Source organism: Homo sapiens, chromosome 3, assembly GCF_000001405.40.
Source record: "Homo sapiens chromosome 3, GRCh38.p14 Primary Assembly".
Taxonomy (NCBI): Eukaryota; Metazoa; Chordata; class Mammalia; order Primates; family Hominidae; genus Homo; species Homo sapiens.
In genome coordinates, this window is record NC_000003.12 from 17,767,925 (window position 1) to 17,787,634 (window position 19,710).

Consider the following 19,710-nt stretch of genomic DNA (forward strand, 5'->3'; position numbering starts at 1 on the left):
TGAGATGTAGTCTCACTCTGTTGCCCAGACTGGAGTACAGTGGCACGATTTTGGCTCACTGCAACCTCCACCTCCCAGGTTCAAGTGATTCTCCTGCCTCAGCCTTCTAAATAGCTGGGACTACAGGCATGCGCCACCACGCCAGGCTAATTTTTCGTATTTTTAGTAGAGATGGGGTTTCACCATGTTGCTAAGGCTGGTCTCGAACTCCTCCCCTCAGGTGATCTGCCCGGCTCGGCCTCCCAAAGTGCTGGGATTACAGTCATGAGCCATGGCACTCAGTCTTTTATATTTTTTAATTTAATTTTTGTCTTTACTAAAGGACATAGTTTAAAATATCAAATAGTATGGAAGGCCTTTGCCAGTGGTGTACTGGCCAATATTTAACAACCAAAAACAGAGTACTATTCAGTCATAGAAAAGAATGAGATGCTGTCATTTGCAACTAAATGGATGGAACTGAAGGTCATTATGTAAAGTGAAATAAATCAGTCACAGAAAGACAAACATTGCATGTTCTCACTTATTTGTGAGAGCTAAAAATCAAAACAATTGAACTCATGGAGATAGAGGATAGAATGATGGTTACCAGAGGCTGTGTACTATAGTGGGGGTTGGGGAGGTAGGGATGGTTAATGGGTATTTCACAGGGGACTACGGTCAATAATAATTGTACATTTAAAAGTAACTGAGAGTATAATTGGATTGTTTGTAACACAAAAAATAGATGCTTCAGGGGATGGATACCCCATTCTCCATGATGTGATTATTCTCATTGCATGTCTGTATCGAAACATCTAATGTACCTCATAAATATATACACCTACTATGTGCCCACAAAAATTGAAAATTAAAAAAAATTAACAACGAGCTCTCTGGAGAAAAAAAAAACCCTTCATTTGTAATGTATGTTGATTTCCATGTTGTAAATACTCCATCCAGGGCCAATTTCAATCTACCAATGTGACAGAAGAGATGTGCACCATCAGCTCTTGTGAGCTAGTGTGAACCAGCTGCAGAACATCACTGATCTTTCTTCATTCTTCTTCACCTTCAAGGTGACTGCTTTCATCTCTTTCAGCCATCATTTTTGGTATTGGCTTTCATATTTCCACTTAAAGATTAACTAAAGGGGCTATCATCCACAGTGCAGATGCAGAAAATAATTAGCATTTACTGGTCACACTCTTTGTTTACTCTTCAATTAGTTAATTCCTCTCCTTCATGCCTCAGTTTTAATGGTATTTCCTGAGAGATGCCTTCCCTGACCACCTCAATTTAAATTAGGTCCCTCCTGCCTCCGGTCATTCTCATGCCACTTTATTCTTTAATTTCATGGCACATATCCCAGTTTGTAATTATGTAATTATATTTATGTTCATTTATTTATTGTCTGCCTCCTCCACTAGTTTGCAAGCTCCATAATGCCAGAGACTTCACATATTTTATTCCTCACTGCATTCTTGAGTAGTATCTAAAAAGCACTTTGATTAGCACCTGGTACCTTGTAGATAAATAAATAAAGGAATGAAGGAATAATAAAAAGAGTGAATTAATAATATATGCTAGATACTATCCAAAATTATTTCATACATGTTATTTCATTTATTTTCAACAACACCCCTTACTAAGTAGTTATCACTGTCTTTATTTTACAGATGAGGAAATTGTCTTAAAGAGGTTAAGTAATGGATTTCAAAGTCATATAGGGAGTGTCGGACTTGAAATAAAACTTAGGCCTTTTGATTTAAAACACCATTTACTTATTTATTGCTCCATTTATTGCTGAATTACCATTCAGCTTCATAACTCTGCTAAGAGGCCTTGAATTGTACCTTATTCTAAGTTTTCATATTTTGATTGGCAGTCCTTGATCTAAACAAAAGATCAAATCTGACTCCTAATTATGTCTTTGACCTAATACTTAACCACTTCTTGTTCTTGATTTGTCCTGGTGATTTACAGGACATACCCTATCACTAAGTGGCTAAGGTCCCAATCCTATACAAGAGTGAAATTGGATAAGATAGTGGGGATTGGCTGTTGGTGGGCCAGACTAAAAACTTGAACTTCATTCTGTCAGCAACATCTATTGCCATTTTAGTGATCAAAGTGAAGAATTTTTAGGAGAATGAAGATGGTGTCAGAATGTGGAGCAAATTAAAGTGGAGAGATGCAGGGGGCAGGAAGATAATCTCAGGGTCTCTTGCTTGAATCCATGTTTGAGGTATTGAAGACTTGAACTAGGATAGTGGCACTATGAAGAGATGACAATAAGGGACCTAAAAAGAACAATCAACAGAGTTCAGTGACAGAGTTACATGTTTTATGGAGGGTGAATAGGATTGAGAAAGAGTGGTACTGGATTCTGCTCCCTACTCAGCCAATTACTAGACATCTGCCTCTTGGCCTCAGCTTCCTTATCTTTAAAGTAGAGGACAGGCCTAGATGACCTATGTCTCCTGCAATTTGGAAACTTTGTTATGAAAATAATAAAAATTAATGCAAAGATTTGGGACCCAAATGACAGTGAGTTTCACAGAAACAAGGAAGGTAGAACATACCTCACTGTGCTTGTGTGTTGCTTGTGTATGTATGCCTGTGTGTATGTGAATGTGCATGCACGCTAGAGGAGAAGGACAAGTGGGAACAGGAAATAACTGGGACAAATATAGACCTTCTCACATGGTAGTGAATAATTGTCATGGAAATGTATCAGCACGTGTATCAGCTTGTTCTGTGTCCATCCCTAAACTTAGGGTAACTTAGTGTCCTGCAGGGGCTGAAAAATCTAAAAACTAAAACTAGGGTTCAGGATACAAATTGGATTCTGTCAGTTAGATGCACATGGCTTAGCTTTGTAAGGCAGAAATAAAGTAAAGACCATATTATTCTCTCAAAGAGCAAAGTCATGGAGACATTCACCTAGGAGTTGAGGTGGCCAGATTTGGTGTTCCAGTATCTAATCACCAGATTTGTGGGTGCTGAGAGACAGTGCTGGTAAGGGCTTTCTGATTCCTAGATCAGACTTCTTGATGCCAGATACTCCAACTCATTCAATGATTTTGCAAACATCTGATTATCTATATGAAACATCTGTTTAAAATATCTAAAAAGGCTTGTATTTCCTTCAGGAATCTGCCTAATAAAGATATCAAATTCCACAAAACTTCCATTTAGTCTATTGATTTCACTACATTGTTGATTTTAGAGTCATCCCTTTTGCTTATTAATAGACTACAATTTTCTTTCATATTAAGGGAATAAAAGACTCTCCTTGCAGGAAATGCCATTAGAGTCTACTACAAAACATGATTTCTTATTCATAAAAAAGAGACAAATTTACCCCATTTCAGGGGACTGTCTAATCAGAGGCTAGATGACATCTGGTTTTCCCCATGGTCTTTGGTCAACTGCAGAGAGGAAGAGAGTGAGATAACAAGTACCCTACACTGAATTGTAAGTCCTTTAGGACATCAAAAATTGCTGTGTCATCCTGGCTGAGAAAAACATTAGGGCATAACTAAGAGAACAAGATACTCAGAGAAATCTTATTGTATTTGTGGATGAGAAGTCATCAAAAGTCAAGTCAATGGTACTGTCATTGCATATGTGTCCTAGAGATTTATGCATTTAGGCATATTATTTATATCAGTAGTTCTCCAAGTGTGGTCCTTAGACCGGTAGCATTAACATCACCCGGGACTTGTTAAAAATACAAATTCCTTTTGGCATGGAGTATAGCATTAAAAAAAAAAAGAAAAGAAAGAAGTACAAACTCTTAGGTCCTACCCCAAACATACTGGAATCAGAAACTCTAGTGGAAGATTATTGGTCATTAGTATACATTCACAAAGTCCTTCATGGTCAATGATAACTAACTTTTTTCTATGGGTGTGATGATCTATCAGTGGGTCTCTGGGTGGGACCTACCAGTGAATGACTGACAGCTATGGATAAGCATTCTTTGTGGGTGCTAGTCTAGGCTTTGAGGTTTGGTAACTTACCCAAGAGCAATGGTAGTAAATAGAGAACAACTTTAATATATTTTCCAAATGTTTATTAAAATAAGAAAAATAATATTATTCCACATAGGAAAAATTTCAGTGTTTTTTAACAAATATATATTCTATGAAAATTATATATGAATAACATTGACTGTTTCATAAGTGAACCAGTTTGAAAATAATTTTGGAGATCTGTTCTGTGACATTTTGTGTCTAATCATAAAATATTGAGACTCAAATATATGTCCATGGGATAGCTCTCAGAATCAAAGACATTATATACTGCTTATGTTTTTTTTTTAGATGGAAGAGAATTCAAAGTATTTTTTACTGGTAAATAATTTTTAGTGACAAGTAATTAGATGCTACCTGAGTTCATAATAGCTTAATATATTATTATTTCGCCTAAAACATGTATGAAGCAATTTAATATTAGGCAAATACAGTTATGGAGACAGTTGCTGTCCTGGATTACCCTACTCTTTAAATAAGAATTCAGGCTAATGCTGATTAATTTTAATAAATTCTTTCAAAGGTGTATATGAGGAGGCATACCGATTGAATATTATAAATAGTTTCTTAAGATCAAATCTTTTAAATCCTTCAAAAGCATATAGCCATTTTAATATTATCAAATGCTGGTTCAGTGTATTTCACTGTCATCAGAACTGGGAATGAAATATTTGGGGTGCAACTAATAACATTCAAACCTTGCTCATATTGTTTCATGAGCATCTACCTTTTATGAAGCGAGTCCTATCTCTGTGAATAATTTGTTCCATAACCCAATTCATTCTGTTGGTTAAAAATGTAGGTATTATTGCATAATCTTGTTGAGAAAAATAGAGTAACAACTTGAACAGCCAAGTAGCTCTTTTATTCATTTTCAATAATAATGTAAAAACGGGACCACAAATTGATGTACGCATGTGGAACTATTTGAAATAAAAATGAAGAAATCTTCTCTTTTACAGAGTTCAATTCTTCAAGGAATTGCAGCAACATTTTTCTCTCTGTATGTTCTGTTAATGTTTTGTCGAGTTTTAACCATTTCTCTCTTTTTGTAAAATTTCCAATGGGATTTGTCTGATTAAAAAAAAGGTTTATGCTTAATGTAGCTTGTATTTTACCCTGAAGGACAAGGGAAATACACCCATTAAATTGAATAATGGAGTTGTTTTAATGACCAGAATGAATCTTTCAGGGATGTAGCTGCACTTCTCCCCAAAATGCCTATTTCAACCATTCTGGCCTTTTTGAGAGTAGATTTTATTAGTCACACCTTCCCATCTCTCTTGCATCTTTAATCCTTACCTTGACTTCTGCTGGAAACATGCTCACTTCTGCTCTATTCTAAATTACAAACCTTCTCTCCACTCTGTACTCCCCTCAAGCTATTGTTCTATTGTTCTCTTCCACTTTACCACCAAATCACGAAAGGGCATTCCAGGGTCCCAGCCTCCATTCTCTGAATACCCGCTCACTTAACTATCCAAAATATGGCTTTAAGCACAACATTTGGAATAACATCTACTTCTTGCCGAGAAAAAAGGGAAATGTTATTAGAGGGAACTACACAGATGGTTTCAACCATATTAATATTGTTCTATTTCTTTAAATCATTTTATATGTATGAAATATTTTATATTTTTAAAGTAGCTTCCATCATCATTATTCTGCTAAAACTGTCACCAATGATCATCTGGTTGTCACAATCAATGATTTTTCTCCCCATTGTAACTTTCTAAAATATTGATGCTATTGCTCAAACTTTCTTTGTATAAAATTGTTTTCTGATTATAAAGTATTATATACTTATTATAAAAATACAGACAATGCAGTGAAAAATAAAGAAAAAAAAGCTATGATCTTCATTATTCTCATTACCCAGAGGTAGCCACTGTGAGCATTTTATTTTATTTTTTGAGACAGAGTCTCGCTCTGTCACTCAGGCTAGAGTGCAGCGGTGTGATCTCGGCTCACTGCAAGCTCCACCTCCCAGGTTTGCGCCATTCTCCTGCCCCAACCTCACAAATAGCTGGGACTGCAGGTGCCCGCCACAACGCCTGGCTAATTTTTTGTATTTTTAGTAGAGATGGGGTTTCACTTTGTTAGCCGGGATGGTCTCAATCTCCTGACCTTGTGATCTGCCCACCTTGGCCTCCCAAAGTGCTGGGATTACAGGTGTGAGCCACCATGCCTGTCCCACTGTGAGCATTTTTTTACTGCAAGTGTTTGTGTGTGTGTGCATATTTCTACATAGTAGAGTGGCCATTTTTTTTCTGATTTTCCCCTTAATATTAAATTAAAGGCATTTCCACAAGTCATTTTGAGAGATGAAGCCAGCTGGACTTCCTGGGCCAAGTGGAGACTTGGAGAACTTTTCTGTCTAGCTAAAGGATTGTAAATGCACCAATCAGCACTCTGTAAAAATGCACCAGTCAGCACTCTGTGTCTAGCTAAAGGATTGTAAACACACCAATTAGCACTCTGTAAAATGGACCAATCAGCATCTGTAAAATGGACCAATCAGTGCTCTGTAAAGTGGACCAATCAGCAGGACATGGGCGGGGCCAAACAAGGGAATAAAAGCTGGCCACTGCAGTCAGCAGTGGCAACCTGCTTGGGTCCGCTTCCACACTGTGGAAGCTTTGCTCTTTCGCTCTTCACAATAAATCTTGCGGCTGCTCACTCTTTGGGTCTGCACTACCTTTATGAGCTGTAACACTCACCATGAGGGTCTGTGTCTTCATTCCTTGAAGTCAGTGAGACCACGAACCCACTGGGAGGAACAAACAACTCCAGATGCGCCACCTTTAAGAGCTGTAACACTCACCGCAAAGGTCTGTGGCTTCACTTCTGAAGTCAGCGAGACCACGAACCCACTGGAAGGAAGAAACTCCAGACACACCATCTTTAAGAGCTGTAACACTCACCGCAAAGGTCTGTGGCTTCATTCTCAAAGTCAGTGACACCAAGAACCCACCAGAAGGAATAAATTCTGGACACATTTTGGTGACCACGAAGGGACTATCACCTATCGCCAAGTGGTGAGTACCATTGGACCCCTTTCACTTGCTATTCTGTCCTATTTTTCCTTAGAATTTGGGGGCTAAATACTGGGCACCTGTCAGCCAGTTAAAAGCGACTAGCATGGCCACCAGACTAAAGACACGGGTGTTAGGCTTTCTGGGAAAGGGCTCTCTAACAGCCCCTGACTCTTCAGAGTTGGGAGCATTGGATTGCCTGGAACCAGCTTCTACTTTTCCTGTACTTCTGGGCTGAGCCATGGGTCGACAGAGAGGAAAGCCATTCAGCTCCAGCGTCCCGACAACAAGTTGGTTAACCCTGCAGCCATGAGTGGAACTCTCAAAGTCACGTCGTCCATGTGAGACTCAGCCATCTATCCTATCTATCCTGCCCTTGCCTCCTGGGTCCTAACGCCTGTCAGACAAACTTCCTCTCACCTCTTTTCTCTGAGGCTAGTCCTGCTTCTAAAAACCACTCCCTGTCTCTGGTGCTTTTCTAGTTTCTCCTGTAAGAATGATTTCTAGTATAAACTTCAGGACTCTCTTACCTTCTTTAGGCACCCGGGCTCACCAATCAGAAAGACATAATTTTTTCCCAAAGCCCTGTCAGATGGGGACACCAACTAACCTTTTAGGATCCTTCCTCAGACAAGAAGGCCTAACAAGGGCTATTTCTGAAGCTAGGATATGGGGAGCCTCAGAAATTATATTCTTCCTATTCATATGAGTGAGGACAAAAAGCATCACTTCCAACCCTGGAGATCCCTTCCCTCCCTCGGGGTATGGCCCTCCACTTCATTTTTGGGGCATAACATCTTTATAGGATGGGCATAAGGTCCCAATACTAACAGGAGAAAACACTTAGGACTCTAACAGGTTTTTGAGAATGCATCAGTAAGGACCACTAAATCCGACCTTCCTCAGTCCTCCTTGTGGTCTAGGAGGAAAACTAGTGTTTCTGCTGCTGCGTCGGTGAGTGCAACTATTCCAATCAGCAGGGTCCAGGGACCATTGTGGGTTCTTGGGCAAGAGGTGTTTCTGCTGCTGTGTCGGTGAGCACAACTATTCCAATCAGCAGGGTCCAGGGACCGTTGCGGGTTCTTGGGCAAGAGGTGTTTCTGCTGCTGCATCAGTGAGCACAACTATTCTGATCAGCATGGTCCAGGGACCATTGCAGATTCTTGGGCAGGGGGGAAACAAACCAAAACCATGAGTGGTTTTGTCTTTCAGATGGGAAACAGAAATCAACAGGCTCACCCTTGAAATGCATCCTAAGCCATTGGTACAAATTTGACCTGCAAACCCTGAAAAAGAGGCAGCTCATTTTTTTCTGCCCCATGGCCTAGCCCCAATATTCTCTCTCTGATGCAGAAAAATGGCCACCTGAGGGAAGTATAAATTACAATACTATCCTGCAGCTTGACCTTTTCTGTAAAAGTGAAGGCAAATGGAGTGAAATACCTTATGTCCAAGCTTTCTTTTCATTGAAGAAGAATCCACAACTATGCAAAGCTTGCAATTTACATCCCACAGGAGGACATCTCAGCTTACCTCCATATCCTAGCCTCCCTATAGCTCTCCTTCCTATTAATGATAAGCCTCCTCTAATCTCCCCCACCCAGAAGGAAACAAGCAAAGAAATCTCCAAAGGACCACAGAAACCCCCAGGCTATTGGTTATGTCCCCTTCAAGCTGTAGGGGAAGGGGAATTTGGCCCAACTGGGGTACATGTCCCCTTCTCCCTCTCTGATTTAAAGCAGATCAAGGTAGACCTGGGGGAGTTTTCAGATGATCCTGATAGGCACATAGATGTCCTACAGGGACTAGGGCAAACCTTCAATCTCACTTGGAGAGATGTCATGCTATTGTTAGATCAAACCCTGGCCTTTAATGAAAAGAATGTGGCTTTAGCTGCAGCCTGAGAGTTTGGAGATACCTGGTATCTTAGTCAAGTAAATGACAGAATGACAGCCGAAGAAAGGGACAAATTCTTTACCTGTCAGCAAGCCATCCCCAATATGGATCCCCACTGGGACCTCAACTCAGATCATGGAGACTGGAGTCGCAAACATCTGTTGATCTGTATTCTAGAAGGACTAAGGAGAATTAGTAAAAAGCCCATGAGTTATTCAAAGATGTCCACCATAACTCAGGGAAAGGAAGAAAATCCTTCTGCCTTCCTCGAGTGGCTATGGAAGGCCTTAAGGAAATATACTGCCCTGTCACCCGACTCCCTCAAGAGTCAATTGATCCTAAAAGATAAGTTTATTACCCAATCAGCCACAGATATCAGGAGAAAGCTCCAAAAGTGAGCCCTGGGCCCTAACCTGGCAACCTTGGTGTTCTATAATAGGGACCAAGAGGAACAGGCCAAAAAGGAAAAAGCAAGATCAGAGAAAGGCCACAGCCTTAGTCATGGCCCTCAGACAAACAAACCTTGGTGGTTTAGAGAGGACAAAAAATGGAGCAGGCTAATCACCCAGTAGGGCTTGTTATCAGTGTGGTTTACAAGGACATTTTAAAAAAGATTGCCCAATGAGAAACAAGCTGTCCCCTCGCCCACGTCCGCTATGCTGAGGCAATCACTGGAAGGCACACTTCCCCAAAGGGCAAAGGTTCTCTGGGCCAGAAGCCCCCAACCAGATGATCCAACAACAGGACTGAGGGTGCCCAGCGCAAGCGCCAGCTCATTTCATCACCCTCACTGAGCCCCGGGTATGTTTAACCATTGAAGGCCAGGAAATTGACTTCCTCCTGGACACTGGCATGGCCTTCTCAGTGTTAATCTCCTGCCCTGGACGACTGTCCTCAAGGTCCGTTACCATCCGAGGAATCCTGGGACAGCCTGTAACCAGGTATTTCTCCCACCTCCTCAGTTGTAATTGGGAGACTTTGTCTTTTCACATGCCTTTCTTGTTATGCCTGAAAGTCCCACACCCTTATTAGGGAGGGATATATTAGCCAAAGCTGGAGCTATTATCTACATGAATATGGGGAACAAGTTACACATTTGTTGTCCCCTACTTGAGGAGGGAATCAACCCTGAAGTCCGGGCATTGGAAGGACAATTTGGAAGGGCAAAAAATCCCCACCCAGTCCAAATCAGGCTAAAAGACTCCATCACTTTTCCTTATCAAAGGCAATATCCCTTAAGGCCTGAAGCTCATAAAGGATTACAGGATATTGTTAAACATTTAAAAGCTCAAGGCTTGGTAAGGAAATGAAGCAGTCCCTGCAACATCGCAATTCTAGGAGTACAAAAATTGAACAGTCAGTGGAGACTAGTGCAAGATCTTAGACTCATCAATGAGGCAGTAATTCCTCTATATCCAGTTGTACCCAACCCCTATACCCTGCTCTCTCAAATACCAGAAGAAGCAGAATGGTTCACTGTTCTGGACCTCAAGGATGCCTTCTTCTGTATTCCCCTGCACTCTGACTCACAGTTTCTCTTTGCCTTTGAGGATCCTACAGACCACACGTCCCAACTTATGTGGATGGTCTCACCCCAAGGGTTTAGGGATAGCCCTTATCTATTTGGTCAGGCACTGGCCCAAGATCGAGGCCACTTCTCAAGTCCAGGCACTCTGGTCCTTCAGTATGTGGATGATTTACTTTTGGCTACCAGTTTGGAAGCCTCATGACAGCAGGCTACTGTAGATCTCTTGAACTTTCTAGCTAATCAAGGGTATAAGGCATCTAGGTCGAAGGCCCAGGTTTGCCTACAGCAAGTCAAATATCTAGGCCTAATCTTAGCCAGAGGGACCAGGGCCCTCAGCAAGGAATGAATACAGCCTCTACTGGCTCATCCTCACCCTAAGACATTAAAACAGTTGCAGGGGTTTCTTGGAATCACCAGCTTTTGCCGACTATGGATCCCCAGATACAATAAGATAGCCAGGCCCCTCTATACTCTAATCAAGGAGAACCAGAGGGCAAATACTCATCTAGTAGAATGGGAAGCAGAGGGAGAAACAGCCTTCAAAACCTTAAAGCAGGCCCTAGTACAAGCTCCAGCGTTAAGTCTTCCCACAGGACAAAACTTCTCTTTATACATCACAGAGAGAGCAGTAATAACTCTTGGGGTCCTTACTCAGACTCATGGGATAACCCCACAACCAGTGGCATACCTAAGTAAGGAAATTGATGTAGTAGCCAAAGTCTGGCCTCACTGTTTACGGGTAGTTGCAGCGGTGGCTGTCTTAGTGTCAGAGGCTATCAAAATAATACAAGGAAAGGATCTCACTGTCTGGACTACTCATGATATAAATGTCATACTAGGTGCCAAAAGAAGTTTATGGCTATCAGACAACTGCCTGGTTAGATACCAGGCACTACTCCTTGAAGGACAAGTGCTTCAAATATGCACGTGTGTGGCCCTCAACCCTGCCACTTTTCTCCCAGAGGATGGGGAACCAATCGAGCACGACTGCCAACAAATTATAGTCCAGACTTATGCTGCCTGAGAGGATCTCTTAGAAGTCCCCTTAGCTAATCCTGACCTTAACCTATACACCGATGGAAGTTCATTGTGGAGAATGGGATACGAAGGTCAGGTTATGCCATAGTTAGTGATGCAACAGTACTTGAAAGTAAGCCTCTTCCCCCAGGGACTAGTGCCCAGTTAGCAGAACTAGTGGCACTTCCCCAAGCCTTAGGACTGGGAAAGGGAAGAAGAATAAATGTGTATACAGGTAGCAAGTATGCTTATCTAATCCTACATGCCCATGCTGCAATATGGAAAGAAAAGGAGCTCCTAACCTCTGGGGGAATCCCCATTAAATACCACAAGGAGGTGCCAGTCTTACACTGCCAAAGACATCAAAAAGGGGAAGGAGAGGGGAGAACAGCAGCATAAGTGGCTGGCAGAGGCAGGGAAAGACCAGCAGAAAGGAAAGAGAGAAAGAGACAGAAAGTCAGAGAGAGAGAGAGAGGGAGAGAGGAAGAGACAGAGAGACAGAGAGAGAGAGAAAGAGAAAGACAGGAAGTCAAAAAGAAGGAGTCAGAGGAAGAGACAGAGACAAAGAAGGGCTCAAAGAGAGAGACAGAGAGAGGAAGAGACAGAGACAAAGAAAGAAGTCAAATAGAAGGAGACAGAGAGAGGAAGAGACCGAGACAAAGGAGTCAGAGAGAGGAAGAGACAGAGACAAAGAAGGAGTCAGAGAGAGAAGAAGAGACAGAGACAAAGAGGGAGTCAGAGAGAGAGAGAAAGAGAGACAGAAAGTCAAAGCGAGAGAGGAAGAGACAAAGAGGAAGTCAGAAATAGAGAAAGAGAGAGACAAAGAAGAAGTCAAAGAGAAAGAAAGAGAGATGGAAGTAGTAAAGAAAAAGCAGTGTACCCTATTCCTTTAAAAGCCAGGGTAAATTTAAAACCTATAACTGATAATTGAAGGTCTTCTCTGTAACTCTATAACACTCCAATACCACCTTGTTGTCAGTGTAAACAAGGGCGTAGCCCAAAAGCACTGAGGCCACTGACAACCCATAGCCTTCCTATCAAAAATCCTTAACCCAGCAGGCTTCCTAACAGGGGATCTAAATCTTAATTAATTACCATACAAAGGTCCGACCAGACCTAGGAGGAACTCCCTTCAGGACAGGATGATAGATGGTTCCTCCTGGGTGATTAAGGAAAAAAGACACAATGGGTATTCAGTAAGTGATAAGGAAACTCTTATAGAAGCAGAGTTAGGAAAATTGCCTAATAATTGGTCTGCTGTTAGCACTCAGCTAAACCTTAAAGTACTTAGAGAATCAGGAAGGAGCCATCTATACCAATTCTAAGTTAATATGGACTGAACAATGCCTTATTAATAGCAAAGAATAATTGAAATCCCAGACTTACAAGGTTTTCAACAAAAGTAAAGTTTGCTAAAAGTTAACAGTGTAACATGTATTATCCTAACTTCTAATCTTGTGGAAATCAGACCCTATCCATGCCCCTCAAAGCTCAAGTCCATCAGCACAGAGCCATACAACTAATACTCCTACTTATAGGGATAGGAATGGCTACTGCTACAGGATCCAGAATAGCCAGTTTATCTACTTCATTATCCTACTACCACACACTCTCAAAGGATTTCTCAGACAGTTTGCAAGAAATAACAAAATCTATCCTTACTCTACAATCCCAAATAGACCCTTTGGCAGCAGTGACTCTCAAAAACCGCTGAGACCTAGACCTCCTCACTACTGAGAAAGGAGGACTTTGCACCTTCTTAGGGGAAGAGTGTTGCTTTTACACTAACCAGTCAGGGATAGTACGAGATGCTGCCCAGCATTTACAGGAAAAGGCCTCTGAAATCAGACAACGCCTTTCAAACTCTTATACCAACCTCTGGAGTTGGGTGACATGACTTCTCCCCTTTCTAGGTCCCGTGACAGCCATCTTGCTATTACTCGCCTTCCAGCCCTGTATTTCTAACCTCCTTGTCAAATTTGTTTCCTCTAGGATCGAGGCCATCAAGCTACAGATGGTCTTACAAATGGAACCCCAAATGAGCTCAACTAACAACTTCTACTAAGGACCCCTGGGCCAACCCACTGGCCCTTTGACTGGCCTAAAGAGTTCCCCTCTGAAGGACACTACAATTGCAGGGACCCTTCTTTGCCCCTATCCAGCAGGAAGTAGCTAGAGCGGTCATTGTCCAATTCCCAACTGCAGTTGGGGTGTCCTGTTTAGAGGGGGGATTGAGAGGTGAAGCCAGCTGGACTTCCTGGGTCGAGTGGGGACTTGGAGAACATTTCTGTCTAGCTAAAGGATTGTAAATGCACCAATGAGCACTCTGTAAAAATGCACCAATCAGCGCTCTGTGTCTAGCTGAAAGATTGTAAATGCACCAATCAGCACTCTGTAAAAACATACCAATCAGCGCTCTGTGTCTAGCTAAAGGATTGTAAACGCACTGATCAGCACTCTGTAAAATGGACCAATCAGCGTTCTGTAAAATGGACCAATCAGCAGGACATGGGTGGGGCCAAACAAGGGAATAAAAGCTGGTCACCCCAGCCAGCAGTGGCAAGCCACTCGGGTCCCCTTCCACACTGTGGAAGCTTTGTTCTTTTGCTCTTCACAATAAATCTTGCTGTTGCTCACTTTTTGGGTCTGCACTACCTTTATGAGCTGTAACACTCACCACAAGGGTCTGCAGCTTCATTCCTTGAAGTCAGTGAGTCCACAAATCCACCAGGATGAACAAACAACTCCGGATGCACCACCTTTAAGAGCTGTAACACTCACTGCGAAAGTCTGCGGCTTCACTCCTGAAGTCAGCGAGACCATGATCCCACTGGAAGGAAGAAACTCCAGGCACATCTGAACATCTGAAGGAACAAACTCCAGACACACCATCTTTAAGAGCTGTAACACTCACCACGAAGGTCTGCAGCTTCATTCTTGAAGTCAGCGACATAAGAACCCACTGGAAGGAATAAATTCCGGACACATCAGCACTATTCAGAGAGGTAGATTCTAGTAGTGTGGATTTGTCTGATTAAAAAAAGTTTACAGACTTTTTGGGTTACAAGTGACAGAAACTCAGCTCAAAACAGCTTAAGCCAAAAGGGGACTTCATTTGAAGGATGTAGCAGTAGCCCACAGAACCAGAAAAAGAATCACTGTGGTTCAGGAACCACCATGATTCTGGAAATCTAAGAGCTTAAAACTAGGGACTCCCTTGCCATATAGACACTTTTTCACTGTTACTGAAATGCCAAGGGTTTGGTCTATACCAGACAGAAAGTCAACTGAGACAAGTGTTACCAGGGAAGAAGGCTTTATTTGGGTACTGCAGCTGAGGAGATGAGAGATCAGTCTTAAATCCATCTCCCTGACCAGCTAAAATTAGGAGTTTATGTAGCAGGGAAGAAATGTAACCATGTAGGAAAACGGGAATTAGGAAGGGGTAAGGAAGAGAAGTCAGTCAACAGGAAGAAGGTGATCAGTTAGGCAATCATGATAGGCAAGAGGTCTCATGTCTCATTGTCCAGATGTGGTGATCTGGTAAGTTTCAGTTCCTTGATTCTATCTGGGAGGCTTGATTTTTGGTTTCCTGAGACAGGAACTCAGATAAGAAAAATATAACCTTGTCAAGTTTCAACGCTGGGAGGGTCTATTTCTATGTTTATTCAAAGAAACCATAAACATAATTTTTTTTTGTTTGTTTTTGTTTTATTTTGTTTTGTTTGAGATGGATTTTCGCTCTTGTTGCCCAGGCTGGAGTGCAATGCATGATCTTGGCTCACTGCAACCTCTGCCTCCTGGGTTCAAGAGATTCTTCTGCCTCAGCCTCCCAAGTAACTGGGATTACAGGTGCCTGCCACCACACGCAGCTAATTTTTTGTATTTTTAGTAGAGATGGGGTTTCACTATGTTGGCCAGGCTGGTCTTGAACTCCTGACCTCAGATGATCCATCCTCCCAAAGTGCTGGGATTACAGGTGTGAGCCACCGTGCCTGGCCAAACATCAGTTCTATGGAACAATTGGGCCAGTTTCATCACTCTTGTTCTTTTTCTTGCTTCTTATTACTTTAACTCTGGCTTGTCTTAACTTCATTCCCTCCAACTGGAGATGGATGCAGACATTAGAGGCAAACAGAGACTGGAGACAAATGGAAAGGGAAAGCAAATCCAGGCAGTGGTGAGTCCAGATCATCAGTCCATATGCTGAGCACCTGCTGCTCTGAATGTTTTCCCAAGCCATGGCAATCAAACTAGGCTGCTAGTTTGCTTAAGCTGACTGAAGTTAGTTTTATGATTTGTCATTGAGAGTCTTGACTAATGCAGTTAATTGATTTGGGCGTAAGTTAATAGAATACATTGACTTCAAAATGGGGTGAACACTTCATAATATTGAAATGTGTCACCAGAAACTGTGGGTCTGATTTTAGATCTCTCCAAAATTTTGAGTGATACTATAGGTGCAATTTCACGGTAAGCAGACACTTTCATTTTTTTCTTATTATTTAAAAAGTTTTATTTTTTCCAGTTTTACTGTATTATAATTAACATACAAAAATTGTGTATATTTACAGTGTACAACATGATGTCTTGATATACGTACACATTGTGAAATGATTACCATAGTCAAGCTATCAACATATCCATTACCTCACAGAGTTACCATCTTTTTTTGTGGTGAGGGCACTTAAGAGCTATCTACTCTCCTGCAAATTTCAAGTATACAACACAATTAACTATAATCACTCTGCTGATCTCCAGAACTTATTTATCCTGCATCACTGAAACTTTATGCCCTTTGACCAACATCTCCCCATATCCCCAACCCTTTCAGCCCCTGGAAATTATCATTCGTTGCTCCTGTGAGGTCAACTTTTTAAGATTCCACACGTAAGTGAGATCATGCAGTATTTGTCTTTTGGTGCATGGCTTATTTCACTTAGCCTAATGTCCTCCAGTTTACCAGGTTGTCATGAATGACAGGATTTCCTTCTTATTTTAAGGCTGAATAATATGCCACTGTAAATATATACTGCATTTTCTTTTTCCACTTATTGGTCAATGGTAGATTCTATATCTCAGCTATTGTGAATAAGGCTACTATGAACATGAAAGTGCAGATATCTGCATCCTGGCTAAGACGGTGAAACCCTGTCTCTACTAAAAATACAAAAAAATTAGCCGGGCATGGTGGTGGGCCCCTGTAGTCCCAGCTACTCCAGAGGCTGAGGCAGGAAAATGGCGTGACCCCGGGAGGTGGAGCTTGCAGTGAGCCGAGATGGCACCACTGCATTCCAGCCTGGGCAACAGAGCAAGACTCCATCTCAAAAAAAAAAAAAAAAAAAGTGCAGATATCTATCTCTTTGAGATACTGATTTCATTTCCTTTGTATGTACAGCCAGAAGTAGGATTTCTAGATCATATGGTAGTTCTACTTTTAATTTTTTAGGATTCTCCAAACTGTTTTCCTTAATGACTGAATAAATTTACATTCTCAGCAACATTGTGGAAGGGTTCCCTTTTCTCCATATCCTCTCCAATATTTGTTATCTTTTGTTTTTTGATGATAGCCATTCTAACAGGTATGAGATGATATTTCATCCTGGTTTTGATTTGCATTTCACTGATGATTAGTGATACTGAACATATTTTCATATATCTCTTGACCATTCTTATGTCTTCTTTTGAGATGTATCTATTCAAAACCGTCGCCTGTTTAAAAAATCTGGTTATTTGTTTTCTTGCTATTGAGTTGAGTTCTTTATATATTTCAGATATTAACCCCATATCAGATATATGATTTGCAAATATTTTTCCCATTCTATAGGTGGTCTCTTTGCTATTGTTTGCTTTGCTATGCAGAAGGTTTTTAGTTGGATGCAATACCATTTGTTATTTTTGCTGTTGTTGCCTGTGCTTTTGGGGTCATAGCCAAAAGATTATTGCCCAGACCAATGTCAAGAAGCTTATTTCAAATGTATTTCTTTAGTAGATTTTCTGTTTCAGATTTTAAGTTTTTAATCCATATCAAGTTGAGTTTTTAATTTAGTGTAAAATAAGGGTTCAATTACATTATTCTATGTGTAGATATCTAGTTTTCCAAACATAATTTTAAAAATTATTTTTTATAGACAGTCTTGTTCTTTCACCCAGGCTGGAGTATAGGGGCATGCTCATGGCTCGCTGCAGCCCCAAACTCCTAGGTTTGAACAATCCTCCTGCCTCAACCTTCCAAAGTGCTGGGATAACCAGTGTCAGCCACCAGGCCTGACCCCAGAACCATTTATTAAAGAGATTGTCTTTTCCCCATTGTGTGTTCTTGACACCTTTGTCAAAGACCAATCTAAGTGTGTGGCTTTATTTCTGGGCTCTCTACTCTGTTCCATTGGTCTGTATGTCTGTTTATATGCCAGTAGCATGATGTTGGGTTACTATAGCTTTGTAACATATTTTGAAATCAGGTAGTGTGATGCCTCCAGCTTTGTTCTTGGTCAAGATTGCTTTGTCTATTCAGACTCTTTTGTAGTTCCATATACATTTTAAGATTAAAAAAAAATTTCTGTGAAAAATGCCATTGGAATTTTAATAGGGGTTGCATTTAATCTGTAGGTTGCTTTTGGTCATATAGACATTTTAACAATATTAAATTCTTCCAATTCATGAATGCAAGATATCTTCACATTTATTTGTGTCTTCAATTTCTTTAACAAATCTTTTATAGTTTTCAGTGTATACACTTTCACCTCCTTGGTTAATTTTATGCCTAAGTATTTTATTTATTTATTTTTTTGGGTGCTATTGTAAGTGGCATTGTTTTCTTAATTTCTTTCTTTTTTTTTTTTTTTTTTTTTTTTGGTTAGAGGCAAGGTCTGTTTATATTGCTCAGGCTGGTCTCAAACTCTTGGGTTCAAACAATCCTCCCGCATTGTCCTCTCAAAACACTGAGATTACAGGCATGAGCCACCATACCTGGCCTGTTAAAAGTTTTATGAAAAGATATTGAATTTACTAATGCTTTTTCTGCATCTGTTGTGATGATCGTATGATTTTGTCCTTCATTCTGTTAATGTGGTATATCACACTTATTCATGTGCGTATGTACTATGATCTAAATGTGTCCCTGAAAATGCGAATATTGGAAACTTAATCCCCAGTGCACCAGTGCTGGGAGGTGGGGCCTTTGGAGAGGAGTTTGGGTTAGGAGAATGGGGTTATAAAAGGACTTGACAGAGGGAATTCATCCCTTTTGTCCTTCTGCCTTCCTCCACATGAGGACTCAGCTTTCTTCCCCCCAGAGTATACGGTAAGAAGGCCCTTATCAGAAACCAGAGGCTGGCACTTTGAGCTTGGACTTTTCAGCCTCCAGAACTGTGAAAAATAAATTCACATTCTTTATAAATTACCTGATCTCAGGTATTCTGTTATAGAGGCACAGACAAAGACAGTATGTTGACTCATCCCTGCATCCCAAGGATAAATGCCATGTAATCAGTATATGAACTTTTTTAATGTGGTGTTGAATTGAGTTTGCTAGTCTTTTTTTGAGCATTTTTACGTCTATTTTCATCAGGAATATTGGTGTGTAATTTTTTTTTTTCTTGTAGTATCCTTGTCTGGCTTCGGTGTCAGGATAATGTTAGCTTCATAAAATGAACTTGGAAGTATTCCCTCATCTTAAATTTTTTGGCAGAGTTTGAGAAGTTTTAGCATTAACGTTTCCGTTTTAAAATATATTTTCAACTTTTATTTTAGATTCAGGAGGTACATGTGCAGGTTTTTTACATGGATATATTGGGTGACGCTGACATTTGGGGTATGAATGATCCCATCGGCCAGCTGGTGGGCATAGTACCCAAGAGATGTTTTTCAGCCCTTGTCCCACTTCCCTCTCTTCCTCCTCTGGTAGTCACCAGTGTCTATTGCTGCCATCTTTATGTCCATGTGTACCCAATGCTTAGCTCCCACTTACAAGTGAGAATATATGGTATTTGGTTTTCTATTGCTGCATTAATTCATTAATTTGCTTAGGATAATGGCCTCCAGCTGTATCTATGTTGCTGCAAAGGACAGGATTTCATTCTTTTTTATGGCTGCATAGTATTCTATGGTGTATATGTAGCACATTTTCTTTATCCAGTCCACCATTGATGATCTCCTAGGGTGATTCCATATCTTTGCTATTATGAATAATGCTGTGATGAACATATGAGTGCTT

At 40.9% G+C, this 19,710-nt stretch overlaps 1 long non-coding RNA gene across 1 annotated transcript, besides 1 other annotated feature; it reads left to right on the plus strand.

Annotated features, from left to right (window-relative positions):
* Positions 6,445-6,534: a silencer, noted in NCBI's record as "silent region_14128". NCBI's record gives its function as "represses an Ori minimal core promoter by ATAC-STARR-seq in GM12878 lymphoblastoid cells {active_cell/tissue: GM12878}" and the evidence as "EXISTENCE:reporter gene assay evidence [ECO:0000049][PMID:35858748]".
* LOC124909350 (uncharacterized) lies at positions 6,621-14,131 on the plus strand. The gene is made up of 2 exons (XR_007095841.1): positions 6,621-7,057; positions 13,488-14,131. It is a non-coding gene; the product is annotated as an uncharacterized LOC124909350 (long non-coding RNA).
* The last annotated feature ends 5,579 nt before the right edge of the window (positions 14,132-19,710 follow it).